Here is a 25,853-nt window from a genome sequence, read left to right as displayed (position 1 = left end):
CCTCTGGTGATCCACCCGCCTCAGCCTCCCTAAGTGATAATTGATAATTGTAGCAAATGATTTGGGTTAAATTTTGAACTTTTGGGTCTCTTGATTTTGAATGAAGCATCCCTGGGAGGTGATAACATCACAGCTTTCTGTTACTGAATATGAGCATCAAAAAGCTTTTTTTCTGGAGTGAATAAAATGACAGGCAAGAAATGACATTCATGAAGTGGACATTGTGGAGATTGACCAGTCATTTTATATTTTTGCTTCTGGCCAAACATGTGCCATAGTTCTAAGGAAAGGCTTTCTTTTTAAATGCATTAAATGCATTTCTGTTTTAAATATCCCATGTCCCTCACACAAATTGGCCTTGACAGCAGCAAACTTATAAATAATACATTCTTATGCCAAAGCTGGCTCAACCAGCTTCGTCAAGACTAACAATAGCAAGCCAGCCTCACTTGGCATCAGCCTCTTTCCCTTCTGCTTCTTTCCAAAGAAGCTTTGTTTATTCCTAACCCTGAGAAGGGGCTTACGGCATGCTGGAAAATTTGGCAAAGATGCTCATTCTGCTAATTTCAAAATAGCTATAGTTTTTAAATCTTAATAACTTATTTCTAATTATAGCTATGTTAACTCAGTCTGTTTATTCTATGGTAAATATAGAAGAGCTGAACATGTGAAAAGATGGGAAAATAAAATTATTCATTAAAAATATATTTTCCCTAATTTTCTGAAGACTTTGAGGAACTTTAATATGAATTATAACACCATTTCAAGATTTCTAACAGGGTAAACTTTTTCTCACCCCAAGCTTGGGGTGTTTTTCTCCACTTATGTGCTCAACTTGAGCAGTTGTCTCAGCCCCATCCCGCCATTCCCCATTGTTGACAAGTTGACTAAAGTTAGAAACAGCTGTGTGAACAGTGATACCACAGCCCAGCGACTATGGCACTCAGTTCCTTTAAAAATATGACCACAAGTTATGTGGGGATTAGATGGGAAGTTAAGTTTTCATATTGGAAAGTGCAGGTAAGAAAATTAAGAATGGCAAGATTTTTCAATCGCTGAAGGTAGTTTCATGCATACTGCCTTCCACTTGTATCTGCAGTAGTCCTGAATTTGAGTTGAAAAAGGCACAGAGATTTAGTTTTAAAATGGATTTCCAGTGAAACCAAAAGAGAAAAGTGCCAGCAACTTTGTCAAGGGAGCTCATGTGTCAGAAAGAACTTGATCCCATTTCACATACTCATAGTGTCATGAACATTCTTTGACCTTATAAATCATCTTCAGTGGAAGTGCACACGTTCTGAAGCAAACAGAAATCAAATCACACTCATCATTTATCAGTCTTAAATTTCTTAATCCAAAGTAGATTTAAAATCTCATGGTTGAGAATTAAAGTATTAAATCTCAGCCTTTCTCTATCATATAGGTTTCAAATAGACATTGAACTTTCCCATTTAAAGCAGATGTAATCCAATGGTTATCAGGTTAATGACAGAGCCCCTCTTCCTTTCTCTAGACTAAGGTTTTCTGATATATGTCACATTTCAGTAGAGAAAAATATATGACTATATTTTATATATTCTTATATATAAGTAGAAGAATATATAAGTTTATTTTCCAATGGATAAGTGTTAGTGACAGGGCATTTTTTCCCTTTATTTTTAATTGTGGTAAAATGCACATAGCATGAAATTTACCAGCTTAACTGTTTTAAGTGTATAGTTTAGTGGTATTAAGTACATTCACATTGTTGTGAACCCATCACTACCATCCATCTGCAGAACTTTTTTATCAACCTAAACAGAAACTCTGCACTCATTAAATAGTAACTCATTATTGAGATGTTTTTTAAAACAATAATGTCTGGTTTCCTCAGATGTACTTATTATATATGTAGTTGCAAAAACTCCTGCCAAAATTTTATGTAAATTACTAAGGATATAACGCCTTTATATCTCAATCTTATAAAATTGACATTATTTATCCTTTCCTGTTAAAACCAAACATACGCACATTAAAACATTGAGTGCCGTAGAATGTAAATACTTACTAGTTATTTCACAAATATATCAACTGAATATGATCTTTTAAATATTCCCCTGAGTTTCTAATAGAGAAATAATGTTCAAATTCTGAAGCTTTTCACTTTTTCTGAACATTACTGATTTATTTATCAGTTAAAGTGGTTCATGCGGTCTCTATGCTTGGTTTAGTTTGTAACTTAAAGTAATGTTCAACAACTTTATTTACCATATAAACTAAACAACACTGATTAAGTATATGTGTATCAGATGCAAAAATTCTATCAGTATAATAATTTCCGTTCGCAATTCCACTAGGGCTTTAAAGTTGATGTCTCTAAGATGTGTTACAGATAAGATAAAGGCTTTATTTTCACAGTCTGCAGAATTTGAAATAAGCATTTTGAGAAAGCATGCATTTTGTAGGGCAAGTATATTTTTCTGCATTACAATTCTATAATCTAGCACATGCACAGTCTTTATTCCCTCCCAAATAATTTGTTTGCTATCATTGAAAAGAATTTTAATGCTTTTCTGACTTCTCTTATCTTAGCTCAAATTTATCAACCATGACATTGTTCACTCTTGCTGTTAAATGCCTCCATATAATCTGAGAAGGTGTTTTTTTCTCTGTACTTCTCTTTGGTGATAATACAAAGAGAGAGTTGCCTGTCGATATGCTTATCCTTCTTAAATATAGAGAAGGGACAGAAAGTGGTGCATTTAATGGAACTGCACTGCTTAGAAATTTGGTGCACTGGTAAAGTTGAACTGTTGTTAAGACTGTCAAAATCTATCCCCTATGTATAGCTATATGCTTTATTTATACACAAGTTAGCATAGCCGTCATTAGCAACAACTCTCACTTTACTTTTATTGTTTTTGAAGGATCTCTGAAGTTAATGGTCTATATCTAAGGGGTAAAACTCTTTTCAGAACTGCTCACGAAAAATAATTTTTAACTGGGCAGATATAGTTATTTTTCTACTAAATCTCATATTGGGTCTTCTCTTCCACCCCACCAATGTCCTGGCTGGTCTAAATGTCAACGCTTCTTTGACCTCTTCAACATGGATAGCTTTTTGGAGCCTTAATAAATGTATACATGATGGCTGTGAGAGAGTATTAAAAGATAGAGAGATCTGGGGCAAATATTAGTGTATCGAAAACAGAATGAATGGGAAAAAAGATATCAAATAAATTCAAATAAGAAAACTAGAGTTGTTAAAATTTATGTATGATATGTGAGAAATTTTCTTACTTGAGGGACAAAGGAATATTCTATAGCTATAATCCTAATTAAAAATTACAAATCGAAAAGTATTAACATTTTATAATTACTTATATTTGGAAGATATATTTAAATTCACTTGGTATGTCCACTTGGCAGATTTGTTTTATAATGAAAATCACTCTGAGGCCAGGCGCGGTGGCTCAAGCCTGTAATCCCAGCACTTTGGGAGGCCAAGGTAGGTGGATCACTTGAGGCCAGGAGTTCGAGACCAGTCTGGCCAACATGGTGAAAACCTGTCTCCACTAAAAATACAAAAATTAGCCAGGCATGGTGGCACACATCTGCAGTCCTAGCTACTTAGGAGAGACATGAGAATTGCTTGAACCCAGGAGGCAGAGGTTGCAGTGAGTCAAGATCGTGCCAATGCACTCCAGCCTGAGTGACAAAGTGAGACCCTGTCTCAAAAAAAGAAAGGGAGAGAGAGAAGAAAGAAAGAGAGAAAGAGAAAGAGTGAAAGAAAGAAAGAGAGAGGGAGGGAGGGAGGGAAAATTACCCTAAATACCTTTTTAAGATTATGAGTATTTTGAAGTGTTCAGATGCTTTGATTTATTGCAAGTGACTTTGTTTTCTCATTTTAAGGAAACCACCTATTTCTTTTTATTGAACTACAGCTCAAAGACTCATTCAAAGATATCAAAAAGAAATTCAATAATTTGAAGTTTAATTACACTAAGAAAAATGAAAAATCTCGGAATCTGAAGGCGCTTAAATATCAAATTCAGCAAGTTGATATGTATGCTGAAAAAATGCAGGTAACAAGAAAGTATGGTTTGTATATGTGCGCATGTGTATGCATGTACTACACAATTATTGCAAAATTGTTTTGAATTTCAAATCTAGATACCTAACTCTGGCTTTTTGTAGCATTGGGACTCAAAGGGTATTTTTCTATTTTTATAACAATTTTATCCTTCATGTAAAAATACATAATAAATTGATTTACCTCTTGAGGCAGATCCAGAATGGTTTCTGCCAAACCCAACCTGTCTACTTCCATTCTTCTCCCCAACACATACACACACACATGGATGCATGCACGTGCCTTCTACACTCCTCCTCCTTTTCTTGCATCCATCTATGTCATCAGTTTTGCTGCTCCTATAGCCTCTTATTCTTACCTTGATTATTACATGTACTGGCTGGATTATTTGAATGCCTTTTCCAGGAGACAGTGAGCTTATTGAGGACAAGTATTTGATTTAATCATCAATGTCTTTAAAAAAGATCATATTACTAGTCTCAAAATCTGGAATACACCTGTGTACATTTTCTATTTATTTGCTGAATGCTAAATCAATAGAATTTGGGGGGAAACCCATTCTTACCATAATATATTTGTAATAATTATTATTTTAATAGATTGGAGGAAGCTGCAAAATTTTTACCAGTTTTTCTCTCAGTATTTAATCACTAGCATCATAAATACAAATTGAATGTTGTTTAAAAAACTTTTTGTTTTTCACACAGGCTTTGAAAAGGAAAATGGAAAAAGTTAGTAATAAAACCTCTGATTCTTTCTTAAATTATCCAAGTGATAAAGTTAATGTCCTTTTGGAAGTCATGAAGGATTTGCAAAAACATGTGGATGACTTTGACAAAGTTGTGACAGATTACAAGAAGAATTTGGACCTGACTGAGCATTTCCAGGAGGTGATAGAAGAGGTATTCTCTTTTTGCAGTGGTATCCATGTTGTAATGTTGTTTTCAAAAATCATTTTGCAACTTTAAAGCAATGTTGCATTAGCTGTTATTCTCATTATATTCATGTATCATGCTCCTTTTCATGATTTTTTTTCCTTAGGATAATTCTCTGAAATAGAATTGCTGGACCTAAGGGGATGAATATTATAAGGTCTTTGATTTTATTGGTCAATTTCTCTTGAGAAAAGTCTTTACTAATTTACTGGCAATGTGTGAGAGTTCCTGTTTCTCCATAACCTCATCAGATGAAGATGTTTAATTATCATGAAATTATGTTCACTGCTGGATATCTGTTTAAAATGCTCAGAATGGTTTATTTATTTCACAGAACTTGAAAATATTTATTTTAAAAAGTGATACTGTGATTTTTCAGCTACAAAAAGTTGTTATTGGTGTTTTCTTTTATTACTGTCAAGAAGATAAATGGTAGAGTATACATAAAATATATGAAATTTGGCAAGTTAAAGTTATTGTTTGAACACTTTGTATTGAAGAAATTCTGCACTTGAAGTTCTTGAGTGTTCTTTGTTGCCCATTATTGTTTGAGATACAGAACGTCTTTACCACTAATGCAGCTGAGTTTTTAGATTTAACACCAGATTAAGGAGAATCAAAATGATCAGTCTTCTACATATGATGTATAAGTTTGTGGTCCCTTTGTGGCACTTATTTAAAACCAACTTCTAACAGAGTCATGTGTTTCTATTTCTCACCCTGCATAAGTGCTTCAGGCCTGAGTCAGACATTCCTTCCATCACAGTTATTTATTTATTTATTTATTTTTGAGATGGAGTGTCGCTCTGTTTCCCAGGCTGGAGTGCAGTGACGTGATCTCGACTCACTGCAAGCTCTGCCTCCCGGGTTCACACCATTCTCCTGCCTCAGCCTCCCGAGTAGCTGGGACTACAGGCGCCCACCACCACGCCCGGCTACTTTTTTGTACTTTTAGTAGAGATGGGGTTTCACCGTGTTAGCCAGGATGGTCTCGATCTCCTGACCTCGTGATCCGCCTGCCTCGGCCTCCCAAAGTGCTGGGATTACAGGCGTGAGCCACCACGCCCAGCCACAGTTATTTTTAATGAGAAACTGTCTCATTCTCCACTGTGTTTGGAAACTATAACCATTTTCTACTAAGCAAAGGTGAAATGCTATTTGTTAGATGATATTTTCCCATTCATAAACTAAATCTTATTCTTCAAAGATAATTTATTTATTAGAGTATTCATCAGGCAATACTTTAGCAGTGTATGATTAATGATATCAATTCTTTATGCTGGATTGTGAACATTTGGCTTTTTTCTTGCCATTTAGCATGTATTTGGATTCTTTTTAGTGCCAGATGCTTTTTATCCTGCCTGTTCTTATAAGTCTGCAACATTCCTCTTAGGAATTATATTTTAGGCAAACCTAAGAAGGTAGGAGAATCAAATATATTTTCATATTTTTACTTTCTTATAGTTTTATTTATACATATTTTCACATTTGTATTTATTTCTGCTGCTAACATTTAAGTGCTGTAGAATACGATCATGTTTTAATATTTTCTTTATTATGACTTAGAAAGTTCAAGCCAATGTGAACATTAAGTTGAGGGAATTAAAATTTGATACTTCACTGGTCAAAATTAAGAACTTTAGAAGGATGGTATTTCTTTCATCTGTGCTTTATCCCATTTAAATTTAGTGTCATTTTTGGTACGAAGATGCAAGTGCCACAGTTGTAAGAGTTGGAAAATATTCCACAGAGTGCAAGACAAAGGAAGCTGTGAAAATTCTCCACCAGCAGTTTAATAAGTTTATTGCACCCTCAGTGCCGCAGCAAGAAGAAAGGATTCAGGAGGCCACTGACCTTGCTCAGCACTTATATGGTGAGATCTCTTTTAAGATATCCAGTGATTGGCCATTGAACAAATCTATACTGAGCCTAATCCAGTAGACAGCAAGAGTGTGGCAAGTCCTCAGGGTCCTCAGCACACCAGTGTATTCAGGGAAAATGTTCAAGGTAAGAGCCCACAGCCAGGGAAAGCAAACAGGGAACAGAGGGAGGAATTTCTGACAGCAGATGAAGCCTGCAGATTTTTACCTACTTTGTGTAAGCCTTCCTTCTCTATTCTCTTTTCTCCTCCATCCCTGTTGTTCATCTCTAGGGTAATAACACCAGAACAATACTCAGCTTATATAAACAAACAAACAAACAAAATCTAATTTCCACTAGAGTGATTCCTTGAAAAACATACAAAATTTCAGTAATACTTTAAGAAGACATAAAGCTAAGACTGAAGTCTCCAGTCCTCTCCTTTCTATGAGGCTTTTGGCTCACATATTTGAGAAAGACCTGGAAAATTCTCCTTCACTTTCCTCTCACTTGTGGAATAAATGGGAGAACTCAAATTGCCATTTTACAAGTTCTGCTTTCCTCTCTTCCATGACTAGGAAAGATAATGTCATGTCAGCCTGAGAGATCCTTCCTCCTAAAAGAGGCCCCCCATTTAAGAAGTCCATGGAGGATGATAGTTCTTGAGGGTTCTGAGGAATAAGTTCCATGAATTCCCTGGTATCGGTCCTGTGAGACCCAGAGTAATTCCCAGTGACCAGGCAAATGCAGCCCAGAAAGAAGACACAACAGTTGGTACAAAATGCTTAATTTGCCTGCCCATGGCTGCTGCCAGGTATTTTCTCTTATAACATGAAACACTATCCATGGAGAGCCATAAATTTTGTAGTATACTACTTAAATTGTTGAGAATGAATTATTCATAATATTCCAGAAGAAAAGGATAGAAACATAAAAATAATAAAATATGGATTGAAAAATTAATGGAAACTAAGGTGACATCTTCTTGCTGGAGTTACCGTGTGAGTGCACTAAATATTTTGGAGACACTCTGCTCCCATAGCCTGATATATGTTTCCTCCACGATTGAACTTTTTACGTTGTAGTATAAATACCTATTGGTCTTCTCTACTACCCATAAACTTGAGGAAAGTATATTTTTTTCACTGTATTTGTGCCTGGATCAGTGCCTATTCAATCTCAGAGCATGAGAAGTGCTGACAAAGACCCTAAAAAGTTAAATTCCCTTCCCGTCCTGCAAGATCCTGCATCTGGCTTTGTTTATATTCCTGGCACTTATCACCAACTGACATTTTATATAGGTATTTGTCTGTTGCCTGACTTTCCTTACCAGAGTGTAAGCTGTATTTGAGGAGCGATTTTGCTTGTTAGTTCACTGTCTAATGGCACATACCAACTGCTTAACAAATATTTGATAAATAAATGAATCACTGAATGAGTAAATGAATGACATGAGTCTCCGTCTGTTTGGTAGGGAAGCTATATATTTTTTAAAATTTGCATCAAGGGAGGCACTTTAAGATTGTATCAACTCTTGCAAGCTACTCAAGCATTACTGAACTCAGAATTTTCATGCAAAAAATTATCTCAAACAAATTTGTGCATACCTGTTATCTACTAAGAGCTGTGGCTGTTATAAAGACAATTAAGACCTAGTTCCTCCATTCAAGAGACCACAGTCTAGTCCTTGAAGTCATGGTATGGTAAATGGAGTGAGAAGGACATAAAATGTTTGTGCTTGTTTGCTAGGGCTGCCGTAACAAAATACCACTGACTGGGTGGCTTCAACAGAAACTTCTTTTCTCACACTTCTGAGGTCTGGAAGTCCAAGATGAAGATGCCAGCAGGGTTGATTTCATCTCAGGCCACTCTGCTTGGCTTGCAGATGGCTGATCCCTTGCTGCCTCTTCACGTGGTCATCCCTCTGCACACACATGCCCCTGGTGTCTCTCCCTCTTCTTGTAAGGGCACCAGTCACATTGGATTAGCGCCCCATCCCAATGGCCTCATTTTAATTTAACCACCTCTTTAAAGATCTCATTTCCAAATACAGTTACATTCTGACGTACTGGGAATTGGGACTTCAACATATGAACTTGGCAGGATGGGGGGACATAGTTCAGCCCATAACAATGTGTGATACAATCTTGGCCTAGGGTGTAGAGTCAGATAGTTCTGGGTTCAAATCCTTGTTCCCCCATTTATTGTCTGGGTCACCTAAAGAAGTCCTTTTTTTTTTTTTTTTTTTGAGACAAAGTCTTGCTTTGTCACCCAGGCTGGAGTGCAGTGGCATGATCTCGGTTCACTGAAACCTCCACCTCCCGGGTTCAAGTGATTCTCCTGCCTCAGCCTCCCGAGTAGCTGAGATCACAGGCATGTGCCACCACACCAGGTTAATTTTTGTATTTTTAGTAGAGATGGGGTTTCACTATGTTGGTCAGGCTGGTCTCGAACTCCTGACCTCAAGTGATCTGCCCACCTCGGTCTCCCAAAGTGCTCGGATTACAGGCGCGAGACACTATGCCGAGGCAAGAAGATCTTTTGAGCATCACATTCCTCATTTGTAAAATGTGGATAGTAGTAGAATCTATCCAAGGATTACATTGAGCAATGGTTATACAGTGCTTAGGCACAGGCAAATAATAAGCATGTGCTACATGGTAGCTATTTTTATTACAATATATAGAGAGAAACCCAGTTGGAAAAGATTAAGAATATCTTCACAGAAATGTTGGCATTTCAGGTGGACCTTAAAGAGTAGGTTATATTTTGACAGCAGAAATTGAGAGTGGAGGGACAGTAGTCCTGGTAGAGGAAGGAATACTCAGCTGCTGTGTGGATCTTCAGGGAGGAGTTGCTGGTTCCATTTGGCTGGAGATAAAATACAGGAGAGAACTAGAGTGACATACATTTGGGAGAGGCAGATTGAAGCCATGTTATGGAAGGGACTTGAATGCCATCCTGAGGAATTTATTCTTCTCTAAGCAGAGAGGAACCACTGAATGTTTTGAACAGGAAAAACTAAGGAGAATTGAGCTTTAAGACTATTCATGTAGCAACATTATTTAGGTTACATGCAAGTGGCGTGGTACAGCAAATGTAATCATTTTCCTAGAATATCTAGCTTTTAGAAACTTGTCTTTATTCATTTATTTATCTCTTCAGCAAATATTTATTAAGAACTTACAATTTATCAGCCCTTACACTGGACAGGGAGATGAATTTATACCTGGACTTTTCTTCTTGCTAAAAATTTGACCTTTAAAACTAGTTTCATCCTTCTCCTCCCCAGGTTTGGAAGAAGGACAGAAATATATTGAGAAAATAGTGACAAAACACAAAGAGGTTCTTGAATCTGTGACTGAATTATGTGAGTCCCTCACAGAGCTCGAAGAAAAACTGAAGGTAATTTCTTCTTCCTAGAATATGTATTTTCAAGCAAAATAAATAAAAATGTGTTAATCAAATGTCTTCTGGTGCAAAGACATTTTAACAGAATTTCTCAGGGTACATAATGTGCACATTTGTTTTACAGCTTTCAAACATAATTATCTGGGTGTTTGTGATAATTAATTCTATTTCTTTCCCATCACTGCAGAGAAAAATATTGCTGGTAATGAAGGCTAAACACAATTAAGGTGTCTGGTTTACATTTTCATGGATCATATCCTAAAAAATGTGTCCCATTAAGACTCTGCCAGTAAACTTTGTATTAAGTAGCCTATGGTTTTGTTCATAAATAATAGATGCCAGGGTTTTTTTTTCCTCTCCAAATTGTGGCACCAGAGAAAATACAAGTAATCTTCAGGTATTATATTCATTCAACACTTTTCCTCATGGAAATAGTAAACTAATCATGATCACTTTTCGTAGAATACAAATTTGATGGTAACAAATATGGAGAATATGTTTATGTCTAAGCAAAACCAGTTAAAGTGAAATACATATGTTTCTTTGTCAATGTCATGTCAAAAACTGGTTTGATTAATGCTGTTTTTATAGCTGGCTGAAAGAACTGGTTGTTGAGGATGGGGAGAACAGCAAGGTCATTAAGATCAAAGGCTGTAGAGCAAAGCACAGTTGCCTTGAAATACCAACTCCCTAAATAATTGGATTTGTGACCTTGGGTAAATTATTTAATCTCCCTGAGCCTGTTTCCTGATCTACAAAGTGGATCCCAGGGTAGCCCGGAGGATTGACTGTGAAGATACTCAAGATTATTGTTGTGATAATTGTTATTGAGGCCTAGTGGTGGTCTTGCAGTTCAGAGCAGAATTATGTTTATTTCTAGCAGCCTCTTTTTTCTGTAGGAATTTCCATGTCATAAATTTATGTGCCTCTTCTATTCAAATAGTTTGTGAGGCTTTTAATTCAGTGGGTGCCCAACCAAATTATCTTTATCCTTTGGTTAAAAATCTAGATTTTTTTTTACCATTTTACCATTTTAAATAACACTACAATGAACATCTTCGTGCATAGCTTTTTCTTTCTTTTGTATTATTACCCACACATAAATTCTACAATCAGGTTTGAGAAAACTGAAATTTTTAATATATGAAATGATTAATATTTCTAATATGTATGTTATTTGCTTCCCATCATTGTTTCACAATGATAATAAACCACATATCTCATGTTATCTTTTTCAACATTTATTCTTTCCTCCCCACCTCCACCCCACCACCGAGGAGCTGCTGCTGCTTCTGACTTCCAATACGAAGGCCGAAAATCAGTGCTTCCTCCGACTCTTTGCTCTTCATTGTCTACAATATTCCTCCCGTTTACGTTGCACATCTTCAAGTGAGGGTCAGCTTCATAAAATCTACTTTCTTCAAGTTATATCCCTTTCCAGCTTTTACCTTGATGGCTATTCTTCCTGAAAGAGCTGTTTCCACAGCCTCTCCCACTTCCTCATTCTCCATTCCTTACACCCTCAGTGTAGTCAGGATTGCATTCTCTCTTTCTCACGCTCAACCTGTCACTTGGATTCTCTTTTGCAGTAGTCAGGAGTCCCCTAATTATACTCCCAGCTAGATTACCCTTCCTAAATAGTTCTGCTAGTGTCATCTTCACATTCACAACACTCTACTACAAACTCTTCCTTACCAAGTCAAGTTCCAATTCAAGGCCTTTCAATGTTCTGAAGCTGGTCACCTTTCCAAACCATTGTGCTTCTGCATTCACTGTAGGTCTGTGTCCCACTGATCTACTATGCTCCCTGGGATTTCTCACTTCTAAACCTTTACTTCAAGGACACGACCTTCTGTCTCTGTTTTTCGAAATCTTACCATCTCTCAGAGCCAAACCCAAATGCTGCCTCCTCCATAAATCCTTCCTTAGCTATATCACTCCCTCCCTGATCTCCCATGCCACTTGTGTGCCTTCCTACCTGTCTTAGTCCATCCTGGCTGCTATGCCAAATGCCATAGACAAGATGCCTTATGAAAAACAGACATTTGTTTCTCATAGTTCTGGAGGCTGGAAGTTCAAGATCAAGATGCTGGCAGATTTGGTGTCTAGTGAGGACTTCCTGGTAGCTGTCTACTCACTCTAACCTTTCATGGTAAAAGAATGAGGGGTGTCTCTCAGGCCTCTTTTCTAAGGGCACTAATCCTATTCATGAGGGCTTCACCCTCATGACCTAATCACTTCCCAAAGGCATCATCTCCTAATACTATCGCCTTAAGGATGTGGATTTTAACATATAAACTTTGGGGGAGCATAAACATTCAGGCTATAACACTAGTATAATCCCACATATAACTACTACATATAATTACATCACATATAACTGCTGTTGCCATCCCAACCCTCCCTACTTGATTATACTTAAGGAAACCCTCTGGCGCTGCTAAATTTAGTGTCCCACACAATATTTAACACTATGCTTTGCCTTGTATTTATTTATTGATTTATTTATTTAGAGACAGTGTGTTGCTCTGTTGCCCAGGCTGGAGTGTAGTGGTGTTATCATGGCTCACGGCAGCCTCGACTTCCCAGGCTCAAGCAATCCTCCAACCTCAGCCTCCCAAGTAGCTGGGACCACAGGCATGCACCACCACACTCGGCTAATGTTTTGATTTTTTTGTAAAGTTGAGGTCTCACTATGTTGCCCAAGCTGGTCTCAAACTCCTGGGCTCAAGTGATCTTTCCGCCTTGGCCTCTCAAAATGCTGGGGTTACAGGTGTGAGCCACCGCACCTGGCCTGCTTTGCTTTCTAAAGCAGGTACTCCAGAAAGAGTTTTGGCATTTGTAGTAAATGCCCAATGGATTGGTACAGAGAAGAACTATCATTCATTGCTTGAAGATGTTTAATTTGGGTGGATGTAGAAATGAGAAAGGGTCTCTCTGGCAAGAGAAATAGGCATCAGCATTATCTTTATGAGTTACAGCCGCAACAAACGCTTCCCAAAGAATGCTTACCAGCACTTTACAGGTGTTTGTATGAAGAGAGCAAATGTCTATTTTTTATGTTATTAAATATAAAGGTTGATGCTATGGCTCTCTTTTCAAAGTTATAGAAAATGGGCTCAGCAATTCCTGTCAGGGCTTAAATAGTGATAGAAATCCTTTCTAATGTATAGCAATTTGAGACTTACAAAGGACGTTCATATACATTATCTCCAGTGATTTCCAAATAATGTTGAGACGAAAAGAAGGCAAATGTTTTCTGTGTAGAGGTGAAAGGAAAAGTCCAAAGAGGGTAAGAGTGCTTTACATGGGCCCCAATAGTCAATAGTGGTAGATCTGAAATTTGAATTTAGATCTAATTCAAAATCTAGCATTCTTTCCACACCAGCTGATATTTTGGAATAAGATATCAGCTGCATACCAAAGCAGAGTGACTCATTGAGCAGCACAAACCAGTTCGGTTTAGAGTTGGGACTGAAAGCAGAATCTCCCCAGTAGTGGGTCTCCCTGAATCCTCCGAGCCAGTGTTGCATATGCATTTTGATGAGCATGCATGTTTGTTTAAGACTCATCTAAGGATTTTATTCCAGGTGGAATAGAGACTCTTCCATTGCAGTATAATCATCATTCTAAACTGGTGTGTTCTATCATGTGTGATACCAGTGGTTCTTTCCACCTTTACAAAGTCTTCTCGGCTCTTGCACTGACTCCACAGTACTTTGCAAACCCCCACTACCTCCATGACTAAAACTGAGCCCCATGAAATGCAGGGAACAAAATATCTTCAACCACATGAAGCATCCTGTGTTCTCAATTGCTGTTTTTCTTTACTATACTCAGTGATATTTTATTCCTCTTTTCAAGAGTCTCCCCAGTATTTTGCTTGTGTAGATTCTCTGGATTTCCTACTTTCTTCTCCCCTAGAGATCTTTAATCATTTCTACCTCACTGCTGCTCCCCAGACTCTCCTAATGGTTTACACTGCCATGCATAATGATTCCTTTCTCTAGAGAATGCTCCTGCAGAAGCATCCTATTATAATGATTACTTTTTTCCTGCTGGGTCTTTCAACAACCAATTTTTACTGGCAATGAACTCTATCAAAGGAATGAGGCAGGAGGGAAACTGTGAGCTGGGAGGGATAATTTTATAAATCACATCATGGGAGTACACCAGTCTCTTGTGGAATATATTTGCTGAAAGGTTGCAAGTGGTCTATGTTTTCTTCCAAGTAGTTAGTGTATGGCACTGTTCTCCAACTTTCCTGGCTCATGCTCTCACTAACTGTTGCTTTGTACAGCAGGGAGATGTTTTAAAGATGAATCCGAATTTGGAAGACTTCCATTATGATTACATTGACTTGCTAAAGGAACCAGCAAAAAATAAGCAGACAATATTCAATGAAGAAAGGAATAAGGTAAAGAAAACTACTTAACCTCAGCTATTGAGGACTTTTGCTTTGAGGTTAAAGTCATTGTCCATTGCAAAATAAAAGTGAATTGCAGCTTTCTTATCTATCCAAATAGAATTTCCCAGTGTAAATGCAATGTGAGTTTCCTCCTCCCTTGCTTCCTTTTGCTCCTCTATTGGTGCTTCTTCTCTCTGTTGTGCTGTTTCCTCTGAGCTTCTCACTATCGAGTACTGGAAACCATGACATTTCACAGTAGCATTGGGACAGCCATTTAAATGCCATGTCACCCCAAACCACTTGTTTTTCCCATCTCTAGCTGCCTTTTCCATTGTCTTTTTATATCCAATCCAACTTCAAATTTTACTTATCCCTTTTTATCATATTGCCAAGCCATGATTTTTATGTTTTACACAACCCATTAGCAAAGCTTAATACGTGAAATTAGATCATATCTTGTTCCCATAGACTCTACCTCTAAGATGATATTTCCAGGCACATTTATCAAACCATAGAATCCAGCTGAAATATAAATACTAAAGTATTTAGAGAAATATTTAAATTATTGTAACACTTATGCACTTACTGATAAAGCATGTAACGACTACAGATACTCACAAAAATGCAAATGTATCATGATTTTGAAAGTGTTATTTAAATCACAACATCAAGATGGTTTTTCAGCATAAGTTGCTCACTCTCTATTCACAGCTGCTGGACTATAATTAGCTTTTGACTTTTTGCTTTGCCAAGTTGCCTGCTCCCAGTGTTTCTCTCCTGAGGAGCTGAAGGAACAATCAAAGTCAACATTATTCTGAACCGTGCTCAAATTAATAAAATACACTTCTTGTGACATGAGAGTTAAAAACAAACAAAAACCCTCTCCATTTGTAACAGTTATTTTGTGGAGAAAGATTTATCTTTCCTTGAAGTCAGTATGGTTCTTTCAGCTTTCTTATAGGTCCTTTTCCACAGGTTAATCTATGTCAAGGCCTGGTGCAGTTATACAACCAGCAGGCAGCAAGTAGTGTTAAGCAAACTGTCTTTTTTTGTGGTAGGGTCTTGAGCGACTTAAACCCAGATTCCTCTCTGAGGCAAAGGAGAGCTGCCAAACTTTGGTCATTTTGCTGGATGCTACTCTTGTATCAAATGGTTTTACGTTACTCTGATTGGTCTAAATCAGGGTTTCTCAACCACAGCACTGTTGACATTTTGGCCAGAGAATTCTCTGTTGTGGGGAGCTGTCCTACGCATTGTAGTTTAGCAGTATTCCTGGCCTTGCTCACTAGATGCCAGTAGCATCTATTATACTAAAATCACTTCATTTGAGAATGAGTGGTCGACACAATAAAGAATAGCCTTAAATGCACCACATTTTCTTAAAAAGGTTTCTAAGAGTTACTAACTCCAACACCCTATCATTTATTTTATTTAGTTCTGCACAATTTCCTACATTGTGAACTAGACACACTTACTAAGAACTCAGAAACAAAAGTTATTGCTACCAAAGCAAACAAAAATAATTTATACTTAGTAAAAGTAGTTTTTCTTGCTTTTATTTTCTTGTTAGAAGAAACAGATTCCTTTAAATTAAAAAAAAGCAAGATTTACCTTCATGGAAAAATAACTTTTATTCTAATACAAACTAAAAGGTTGGAGCATCAGTCATTTTGGGTGTAAGTGAAGGTCTACAATTACAGCTGTCAAGAATTGTTATTAACGTCATGTTATGTCCTGGTGCAATTGGTGTAGACAGCAAAATGAAAAGGTGGCAGTAATCTTCACTTTTAAGTAGCTCAATCACATTTACCCTCTTATTGTCTGTATTATTTATATGTAGATCAGATGTAATGATTCTCCACAACCCCATGTGGGCAGATAGGAAGCACCAAGTGAAAAGCTTGTCCTGGTATTATTGCAGTCAATTCTGATACCCTTAAATGATGGTAGAATTCCTGAGGAAATTATTTGAGTTGGAAAGAATAGTTCCACTGAACTACTATAAGAATATATTCAATGCAGGGATTTTTTTTCCTGGAGATAGCAAAGTACTTCTCATTTTTCAGACCCAAAAATGCAGCAGGTGGAATTAGGCAATTCACTAAATGCAACACACGTAGCACTGCTAACAGATTAGTGATGGTGTTTTATTCCCAATGTGAGCACTGAAGATATGAAAACTCCTAAGGTTAAATGGAAGCACACAGTATTAACAGACTCACCTAAAGTCGTGCAACTATTTGGTGGAAGATGATGGCTTTTGATGCCAGCATTTAGAGTTATAGAATTTTAGTGCTAGAAGGGATTTAATCAAATATCATTTTACAGTTGAGGAAACTGAGGCCAAAAGGGATTGAATATATTGTCCTCCAAAAATTACAGAAAGTAGTGTAAGAACTGGCAGTCACCCCAATTCTCCTGAATTTTAGCCATACACTTTTCCCGCAAGACCAAAATGGGAGCTCCCAGGAACTATTGCGTATACATAAGCTGCTTTGTAATGATACTGTAGATGTCCATGACAAACTTTTCCCCTCTTCCTATTTATCTGCTTATAAGCAATAGCATGGAAATATTTTTTGCACCAAAGAATTCAGTGGAGTGCTCTTATCAGACTAGGTGAGGAGGGTCCCTGCACTCCCCCTCTACCCTCAACACACACACACACAATAATCCTGATCACCCGGCAGGTACAGGAAGATGTTCCTGAAACACTTGCCTTGAAAGAAATTGGGAAGAAAATTAGTGTTCTTCTTCACCACCTCTCTGTTCCCTTTTCTTTTACCTTGTCCACCTAAAGTGCCCCAAAATACCACATTACCCCTTTTTGTCTAAAGCCCCCGCTAAGGGCCTTCTCTACAAATGTGTTTTACAGACCAAGTCCTATGCTTAATATCTTCCTTTGTGTTCTTCCTACTTACTTTCATTAAATCTTATTTACCCTAAAGTAAGGCTATCTGTTATGGAGGTATTTTGGAAGATAAAATCTTGTAGTGTTCCTTCAAATTTACCACATATGTAGTTCCCTGCTCTATGGACTTTGAGGATTGGTTCTGCCCACTTAGTTGAATGGATGTAGGAATATCACTGTATTCTCCCTTCTAGACATTTTTTCTGCCTACAGGGCAATGATTTAAATGCAAGGGATTATGCCCATCAGCAGAAATGAAAGTTCAGAAGTCCTGACAGAGATAAGACTTGAAGCTAATAGATTTAGTATTAATTAAAAGCTAATTGTTTACTAGATATGTAAGTGGGTAAGATGTTTGAGGGGCAAGGAATATAGAGACAATTAGAGAACTTAAAGATAAGACTGCAGGCCATTCATATATTTAGAAGGTGGGAAAAGAAAAAGGAATCAACAAAAAGACAAAGATCAGCCTCTCAATTTGATATAAGAAAAGCAGATTGAGAGTTGAGCTATGTTTTGGTGAATTAGATCAGAGTTTCCCAGCTATTTTGCCAGAACTCATTAGACTGATGTAAATATGCCCTGTCTGTACTGAAAACCATAAATTTATTTAAACTTTTCTGGGTAAATAACACACACACATTTTTTTTTTGGTAATAACAAACATGGTTTTATGGTGAAAAAATATTAACAAATAATTAGTATATGTAAATGTTTGGATAGCATTTTCATAGTTGAAAACTAGACAGTTCTAGAAAATATAGCTCAGTGAGTTTTAAAATAATGTTTCTGGCTGGGTGCTGTAGCTTACGCCTGTAACCCCAGCACTTTGGGAGGCCAAGGCGGGTAGATCGCCTGAAGCCAGGAGTTCAAGACCAGCCTGGCCAACATGGTGAAACCCCGTCTCTACTAAAAATACAAAAATTAGCTGGGTGCCTGTAATCCCAGCTACTTGGGAGCCTGAGGCAGGAGAATCATTTGAACTTGGGAGATGCAGGTTGTAGTGAGCCGAGATTGTGCCATTGCACTCCAGTCTTGGCAACAAAAGTGAAACTCCATCTCAAAAATAAAAATGAGAATAAAATAAAATAATGTTTCCATAAAATTCCATAATGACTTAAAAACGGAAATCTTATTTGCATTTTTAATTTTTTTAATTTTTATATGATACATAATAGATGTACATAGTTTTGAAGTACCTGTGATAATTTAATGCATTCGATTTTGCATTTAAGAATAAAAGCAGTAGTGCCAAGAGCCAAATTGATTTACTCAGAAGACCACTTGCATATATATTAAACTCACCTTATCTTGCTTCCCGAGATGATTATTTAATGAGTAATTCTAGGTTAGTGCCATAGGCATAATTTATTATGGTTTCAAGATGTCATTTGATAAACACACTTATGATGCTCTCTTAAGATAAGTGGAGAAATGTGTACTGAATGAGGGTTTGGCCAAGTTATAATTGTACTCAAGAGTGTTAAGTAGTTCATCAACGTCAACTTTGGAGACAATCTGTCTTGTGGAGATATCTAACTTTGTTCTAAACACTGCAGTGTTCAACATTTTCATCAATAGCATTAATGGACAGAGGAGGTAGGACATTTTAGTTGACTACAAATTCAGCATAAGTCAATGGTCCCATGTGATTTTTATTTTAAAAAATGAACTAATACAATCACCTTAATAAAAACATATCATATAAGTCAAGAAGATGATGATTCCACTGATTACTTACCATCTGGAAAGTAAACAACTCTAGAAACAAACATGTTTAATGGGAAGTTAAATGGTTCCAGAAAAAGATTTGAGAAAACTCTTTTCCTCTTATTGATAGTAGAAATTATTGGGTAGTGTTATTTTTTGAGGAAAGTACTTTTTCTATTTTAGGAATTGTTAGAAGTGAAAAAATGATAGCCTTATATTCCTTTCATGTGTTTGGCACCAGCTGAAAGTAAGATACAGGAGTCAGGAACCAGTTAAAGCTGGATGGCTTGGACTTTTCTAGTGGGTTTCCCTAAACTTCATGCCTGATTTAAATAGATTAAATATGTACCCAGTCCACTTGGGTGCCCATCTAGACGACCACAGACTTCACCTCCGGGGGATTTTCATGCCTTAGAGCCAACCTGAACCCATGCATTTCATGAAAGGCAAATCCAAAAGTGAGGGCCTCATAGAGACAGATCTGAGCATGCTCAGTACCTTCTTCCAAACCCTCAATTAGGAAATAAATTCCTCCCCAGCAGGGATTGAGGAGTTGGGAGATGGGTCTGGACTTGTATTCAAGTTTCTCTCCTAAGCTTGTTGTAAGTTTTCAGACAATTCTAAAACATTATTCTTCTGTGGAGAGTCATAGGTTACCTGAAGAAGTCATTAAGGAGTTGTCATTGTCTGCCCCTGGAAGGCCAACAAGTCAACAAATGTCCCTGCTCTTCTATGAAGGATCTTGTGGCGCAGTAGGAGTGGGACCTCCCAGAAATGACCAAGATGATGAGAGAGAGTTGAGGCAAAAGAAGACCTGAGAGTGTCTGGTACAGAGAAAGAGGCTTAGACAGGTTGTAGGACCAATTCTCCAAACAGTCAAAGAGCTATTAAAGTTGGAGAGCAGCTGGACTTTTTGTGTAGCTCCAGGAGGCCAATTCAGATCCATTGGTGGAAACTGCAGGAAGGCAGATCTTTGCTACATATAGGAAGATATTCTTAACACAAGTAAGGCACACATTCTCAAAGTACTCTTTCAGAAAAAGTGTTCAAATAGAGGCTGCCAAAATGTTGTAGTGGAGATTCTTAGACTGAATAGGTGGTTAATCAAAGTCCCCATAAGGAGGAAAATAAGCATTCTACTTTCATGAAGAGATGGACAGAGAGACCGAGCTAAGCTGTGGCACGACAGCCAAAAGAGGGAGGGGCAATTAGTAATTTAATATTCTTTTTAATGAGGGGAACTTCTAAGAACATCTGGGTTTTAGACTCAGAATTTAAACTTTTAGTAAATGGCTGAAGGAAACCACTTTCGCTAAGTTGGGTTAATGTTTCTCTGAGGAGAGATAATCTCTGTGGGATAGTAGAAGCAACATTGCTTTGCTTCGACTCTTCAACCTGAAAACACATTTTTTTTTTTTTTTTTTTTTTTTTTGGAGACGAAGTTTCACTCTTGTTGCCCAGGCTGGGGTACAATGGCACGATCTCGATCTCGGCTCACTGCAACCTCTGCCTGAGTTCAAGAGATTCTCCTGCTTCAGCTTCCCAAAGTAGCTGGGATTACAGGCACCCATCACCACACATAGCTATTTTTTTTTTTTTTTGAGACAGAGTCTCACTCTGTTGCCCAGGATGGAGTGCAGTGGTGCAATATTGGCTCACTGCAACTTCTGCCTTCTGGGTTCAAGAGATTCTCCTGCCTCAGCCTCCTGAGTAGCTGGGACTGCAGGTGCGCACCACCACGCCTGGCTAATTTTTTGCATTTTTAGTAGAGGTGGGGTTTCACCATGTTAGCCAGGATGGTCTCTATCTCCTGACCTTGTGATCCCCCTACCTTGGCCTCCCAAAGTGCTGGGATTACAGGTGTGAGCCACCGCACCCAGTCTTATTTTCTTAAAAATCACTTACAAAATGTATATCAACAGCAGGACTACGGGCTAAAATGAAAAACTCAAAGGCAAGGCAAGATGTGACTTTCCTATATGCATCAGTTACTGCAGGACAAAAACCAGTACATACTAAGTAAGTAGGCACCCAAAATGCTGAGGAACGGCACAGAAAGGAGATATAAAACCAGCAGGTGGGGATAGATAAGATCGCTTTTCAGCTTCAATGTTCTTTTGAGTCTATGCAACAGGGACATTTGAGCCTCTTCTTAAACCAGAGATGGATGTGGATTAGACTAGGACAGTGGAAGCAGAGAAAGAAGTACTGCTACTCACCACTCCTAGCAGGACTACACTCAGATTGGAGCAGAGACAAGTGGCAGGTGCTTTCCTATTGTATCTTGATGTGCTCTCTTGGGAAAGGCCATCAAGTCTGATTGTTCCATTAATATCTGGCTCCTCCACTAGGATATCATCTCCTCAACTGCAGAGACTGATCTACTTGTATTCACCAAATTATGCCTCTAATACTAGCATGGTTCCTAGTGTATAGCAGTAGGTGCTCAATAAATATTTTTTCAATGCAAGAATAAACTAAGGGACTTCAAGAAAATAAAACTAGTCATGAAGAATTGCTTTCTCTATATGAGGTACATAGAGGGGTCAAATGCATAGAGCAAGAGAATAGAATGGTGGTTGCCAGAGGCTGAGTCGGGGGAAGACAAAAGATTAGGGGGTTAGTGTTTAGTGGATACAGAATTTCAATTGGAAAGATGAAAAAGTTCTGGAGATGGATGGCAGTGATAGTTACACTCAATGTGAATGCACTTAATGCCACTGAGCCGTACACTTAAACATGGTTGAAGTGGTACATTTTATGTATATTTCACTACAATTTATTTTAAAAAGAAATGGTTTTCTTGAGAGAAAGGACAGGTTATTCCGGGAGAGTCCAAGGAATCACCTAACAAGGGAGTCTCTGATGGTCAGCATCTGTGTGTTTATAGATGTGTGTGTAGACAAGCCAGACCTAAGCTGACTTTGCTGTTTGAGAAGACTCCCCAGATCATGGTTTGAAAGATGTTGATCTAGTCCAACCCCTTCACTACAGATGGAAACTAGGGCTTTCTCTCTTCTGTTCACAATGTCTATCACACTTTACTCAGAACTTGAGGTCTTTATAATGATTCCTTAGTCATGAGAAGTGGGACTGTGCTCAGGATCGACAGACAAATGGTTTCTCATCCGTAATTCTTGCTCCAGCCCCCTAAATTTTAACCTTGTAGGTTGTCTCGAGTTATCTCTCTGAAGTTGAGTTTTACTGTAATTGAAACTGGAAAAAGAAAAATGAATGAATAAGGATGATTTGGCTTTTCTTTTTTCAAGGGGCAGGTGCAGGTGGCAGATCTTTTGGGCATCAATGGAACAGGGGAAGAGCGACTACCACAAGACCTGAAGGTGTCCACTGACAAGGAGGGTGGCGTCCAGGACCTGCTCCTGCCTGAAGACATGCTCTCAGGGGAAGAATATGAGTGTGTCTCACCTGATGACATCTCCTTGCCTCCTCTCCCAGGAAGCCCTGAGTCCCCTCTTGCACCATCTGACATGGAGGTGGAAGAGCCTGTCAGCTCCTCCCTCAGCCTTCACATAAGCAGCTATGGGGTGCAGGCTGGGACCAGCAGCCCAGGGGATGCCCAGGAATCTGTTCTTCCACCACCTGTTGCCTTTGCGGATGCATGCAATGATAAGAGAGAAACATTTTCAAGTCATTTTGAGAGGCCTTACCTCCAGTTCAAAGCTGAGCCCCCACTAACCTCCAGAGGATTCGTGGAAAAGAGTACTGCCTTACACAGAATCAGTGCTGAACATCCAGAGAGCATGATGAGTGAAGTGCATGAGAGAGCTTTACAGCAGCACCCTCAGGCTCAGGGTGGTTTGCTAGAAACACGGGAGAAAATGCATGCTGATAATAACTTCACTAAAACCCAAGATAGGCTGCATGCTTCCTCTGATGCATTCTCGGGCCTCAGGTTTCAATCAGGCACCAGCAGGGGCTATCAGAGGCAAATGGTTCCTCGAGAAGAGATTAAAAGCACATCAGCAAAGAGCAGCGTGGTCAGCCTAGCTGACCAGGCACCTAATTTCTCCAGGCTCCTGTCTAATGTAACTGTCATGGAAGGTTCTCCAGTGACTTTGGAAGTTGAAGTAACAGGATTTCCAGAGCCTACACTGACATGGTGGGTAGCCTATAATGACAAGCCATAAATGGAAACAAATTCAATCACAGAGAAAAATCATTCTGTGAGCACTAACTGAAAGGTTTAGGGCTAGCTGATTAATATTCTATGACACTGCAACTCTGCATGATTCAATCTCACATCAGACCCCTCTCATTTTAGTAGCAGCATAGTTAATACCTTTAAGAAAAATAAAAGGTAACCATATAAAGTACTAATAATTTAACAAATTTCCAAAGCACTGTAGGTTGGTTGTGCTTGTTTTCTTCTGTGTTTAACATTCCACATTTCTAAAGATTGTGGGTTGAAATTATTTTTTATTGTCTATTTCCATATAAGCATGGCATCTGCTTGCTTTAACTACCTTTATGCAATTGAAAATATAAGAATTTGTTTTTATTTCCCTTTACTCTCATTTACCTCTTTCATCTTTTTCCTCTTTCCAACAGAGTCACACGTGTCATCTTTGTAACATTTTGTTTTACTAGGATTTCTTTTTACAAATTTTTTCAATGTGAGAGGTGGAATATAAATATTTCTGTCACAGTTCCTCCAGGTGACAGGCAATAAACTCATTTTTGAAAGGTAGTATAATAACTGAGCTGTAAACAATATGATTTCACTCTGGAGACATCATTATTTTTTAGCCTCTTTTTTTCAGTAAAAGCAAACTGTAGAATACTGGTTTTGGATCACCTACTATTGGTAACAAAAGCAGTTCTTTCTCAATATGTGGGTTACTTTTAAACATTTAGAAAATTCTCATCCTTAAGTAAATTTATTTCAGGACAAAGTTACAAATCTGCAAAAGCCAGTTTATACTTATAAACTAAGATTAAGTAAAATAGCATTTATTGATCACAATGTTTCAGTAGATATTAAATGATCAGTTTCAGTTATTGTGTGTGCCCATTGATGGTACTTGAAATATGAACCAGTTATCTAAGGAACTTATGAGAAAACTTTGGTTTCTCAAATTATTTAAAAAACTGCACTTGTGCTATATTAGTGCAGTCACTTTTGCTTTTTGTTTTATTGTCTTTACTGTTGCATGTTTTTTACAAATCAAGAGTGTCATATTTATGAATTTTAAAGATATTTAATTCATTATTAAATCTCAGTTCACTCCAAAGAAAAATGTTGTCAGATGTGTTTCTTGTTTTTGTCCACACAGTAAATATTAATAATTTGGTTAGTATGTGTGTGGTTAAAGAAGCACTGCTACATACGTGTCGTTGAAGAATATTGCAATGTTGTAAACAAATGTTTTGTCGTCAGATTTACAACTGTGCTCAATTAATAACTGACAAGCTTTCAGGATATCATACATTCTTAGGATACCCAAGAAAAGGCAAAGTTATCACTTAGGCAATGGGAACAGAAAACGATTCACATTTGTCATCACCCCTGAGTGATAGATTGTGGGTAGAAATAAATAAACAAGAATCTCAGACATACAAAATAAAATTATTTCTTTATAAAACCATGCAGTTAAGCACTCATGTTCATAGGAACCTTCTAGAAATATGTTATTAATAGTCATAATACAGTTGCATAAATACCTTTTATAATTAGAAGTCATTTTCTTCTAATGAAATTGCTTCAAAAAAATTAAATGAAGTGATCTCATCAGGAGGTGATATTAAGTACAGTCCTCTAAAACAGCACATCTGTATTGTCCTGTGGATACTGTGGTATGAATATGATGGGGTAGATGAGTCTCACTCCCATGCAGTTTATAAGGAGTCACAGCTGCTGTTCCAGAGTGGCAAAAAGAATAAAGCTGGACAACATGAGGGTGCCATTTCACACCCTAGGTAATTGTTACTATGAGCAAATGGTGGCCTAGTGTGACCAAATGGTCTGCTTTGTTTTTGTTTTTGTTTTTAGGGGTAGCTGGATATCTGAATTTTCATATGCAATATTCCAATTTTTAAAGGATTTCAAAAAATTCAGTTTTCCAAAAACATTGTCTGAGCCAGTCAAAGCAATTCTCTCGCCACCAGTTGCCAACTTCTGCTTGAAAGATAAACAGCGCATAATACCAGCTACTCAGGAGGCTGAGGCAGGCAGATTGCTTGAAACCAGGAGTTCAAGACCAGCCTGGGTAACATAGCGAGATCCTATCTCTTAAAAAAAATAAAAAATAAAAAACTTAGCCTGCACATGGTGGTAAGCGCCTGTAGTCCCAGCTACTTGAGAGCCTGAGGTGGGAGGATTGCTTGATCCCAGGAGTTTGAGACCGCAATGATCTCTGATTCTGCTACTGCAATCTAGCCTACTAAAGAAAAAAAGATAAAGAGCCCCACTGGAATTTGTTGTGGCTACAAGGTTCCTACTAATCCTAAGAGAATATTGCAGTGGTAATGGGCCTATTTGCAAGCATTATTAGAACTTGGAAATAATGTGAATAAACAGCAATCCTG

At 37.8% G+C, this 25,853-nt stretch overlaps 1 protein-coding gene across 19 annotated transcripts in view; it reads left to right on the top strand.

Annotated features, from left to right (window-relative positions):
- CCDC141 (coiled-coil domain containing 141) overlaps positions 1-25,853 on the top strand; it is a 235,160-nt gene that overhangs the window by 189,817 nt on the left and 19,490 nt on the right. For 10 of the 19 annotated variants that reach the window (XM_047443998.1, XM_047443994.1, XM_047443993.1 and 7 more), the window contains 6 exons: positions 3,924-4,064; positions 4,780-4,974; positions 6,697-6,880; positions 10,160-10,272; positions 14,579-14,695; positions 22,577-23,427. In XM_047443998.1, coding sequence (XP_047299954.1) covers positions 3,924-4,064; positions 4,780-4,974; positions 6,697-6,880; positions 10,160-10,272; positions 14,579-14,695; positions 22,577-23,427 — 1,601 coding nt within the window. Of the gene's footprint in view, positions 1-3,923; positions 4,065-4,779; positions 4,975-6,696; positions 6,881-10,159; positions 10,273-14,578; positions 14,696-22,576; positions 23,428-25,317; positions 25,535-25,853 lie in introns of all 19 variants that reach the window. The other 9 variants (XM_047443985.1, XM_047443986.1, XM_011510992.4 and 6 more) reach the window with 3 other exon arrangements.

Source organism: Homo sapiens, chromosome 2 (assembly GCF_000001405.40).
Source record: "Homo sapiens chromosome 2, GRCh38.p14 Primary Assembly".
In the NCBI taxonomy this organism is placed as follows: Eukaryota; Metazoa; Chordata; class Mammalia; order Primates; family Hominidae; genus Homo; species Homo sapiens.
This window is presented reverse-complemented; position numbering and strand designations above follow the sequence as displayed.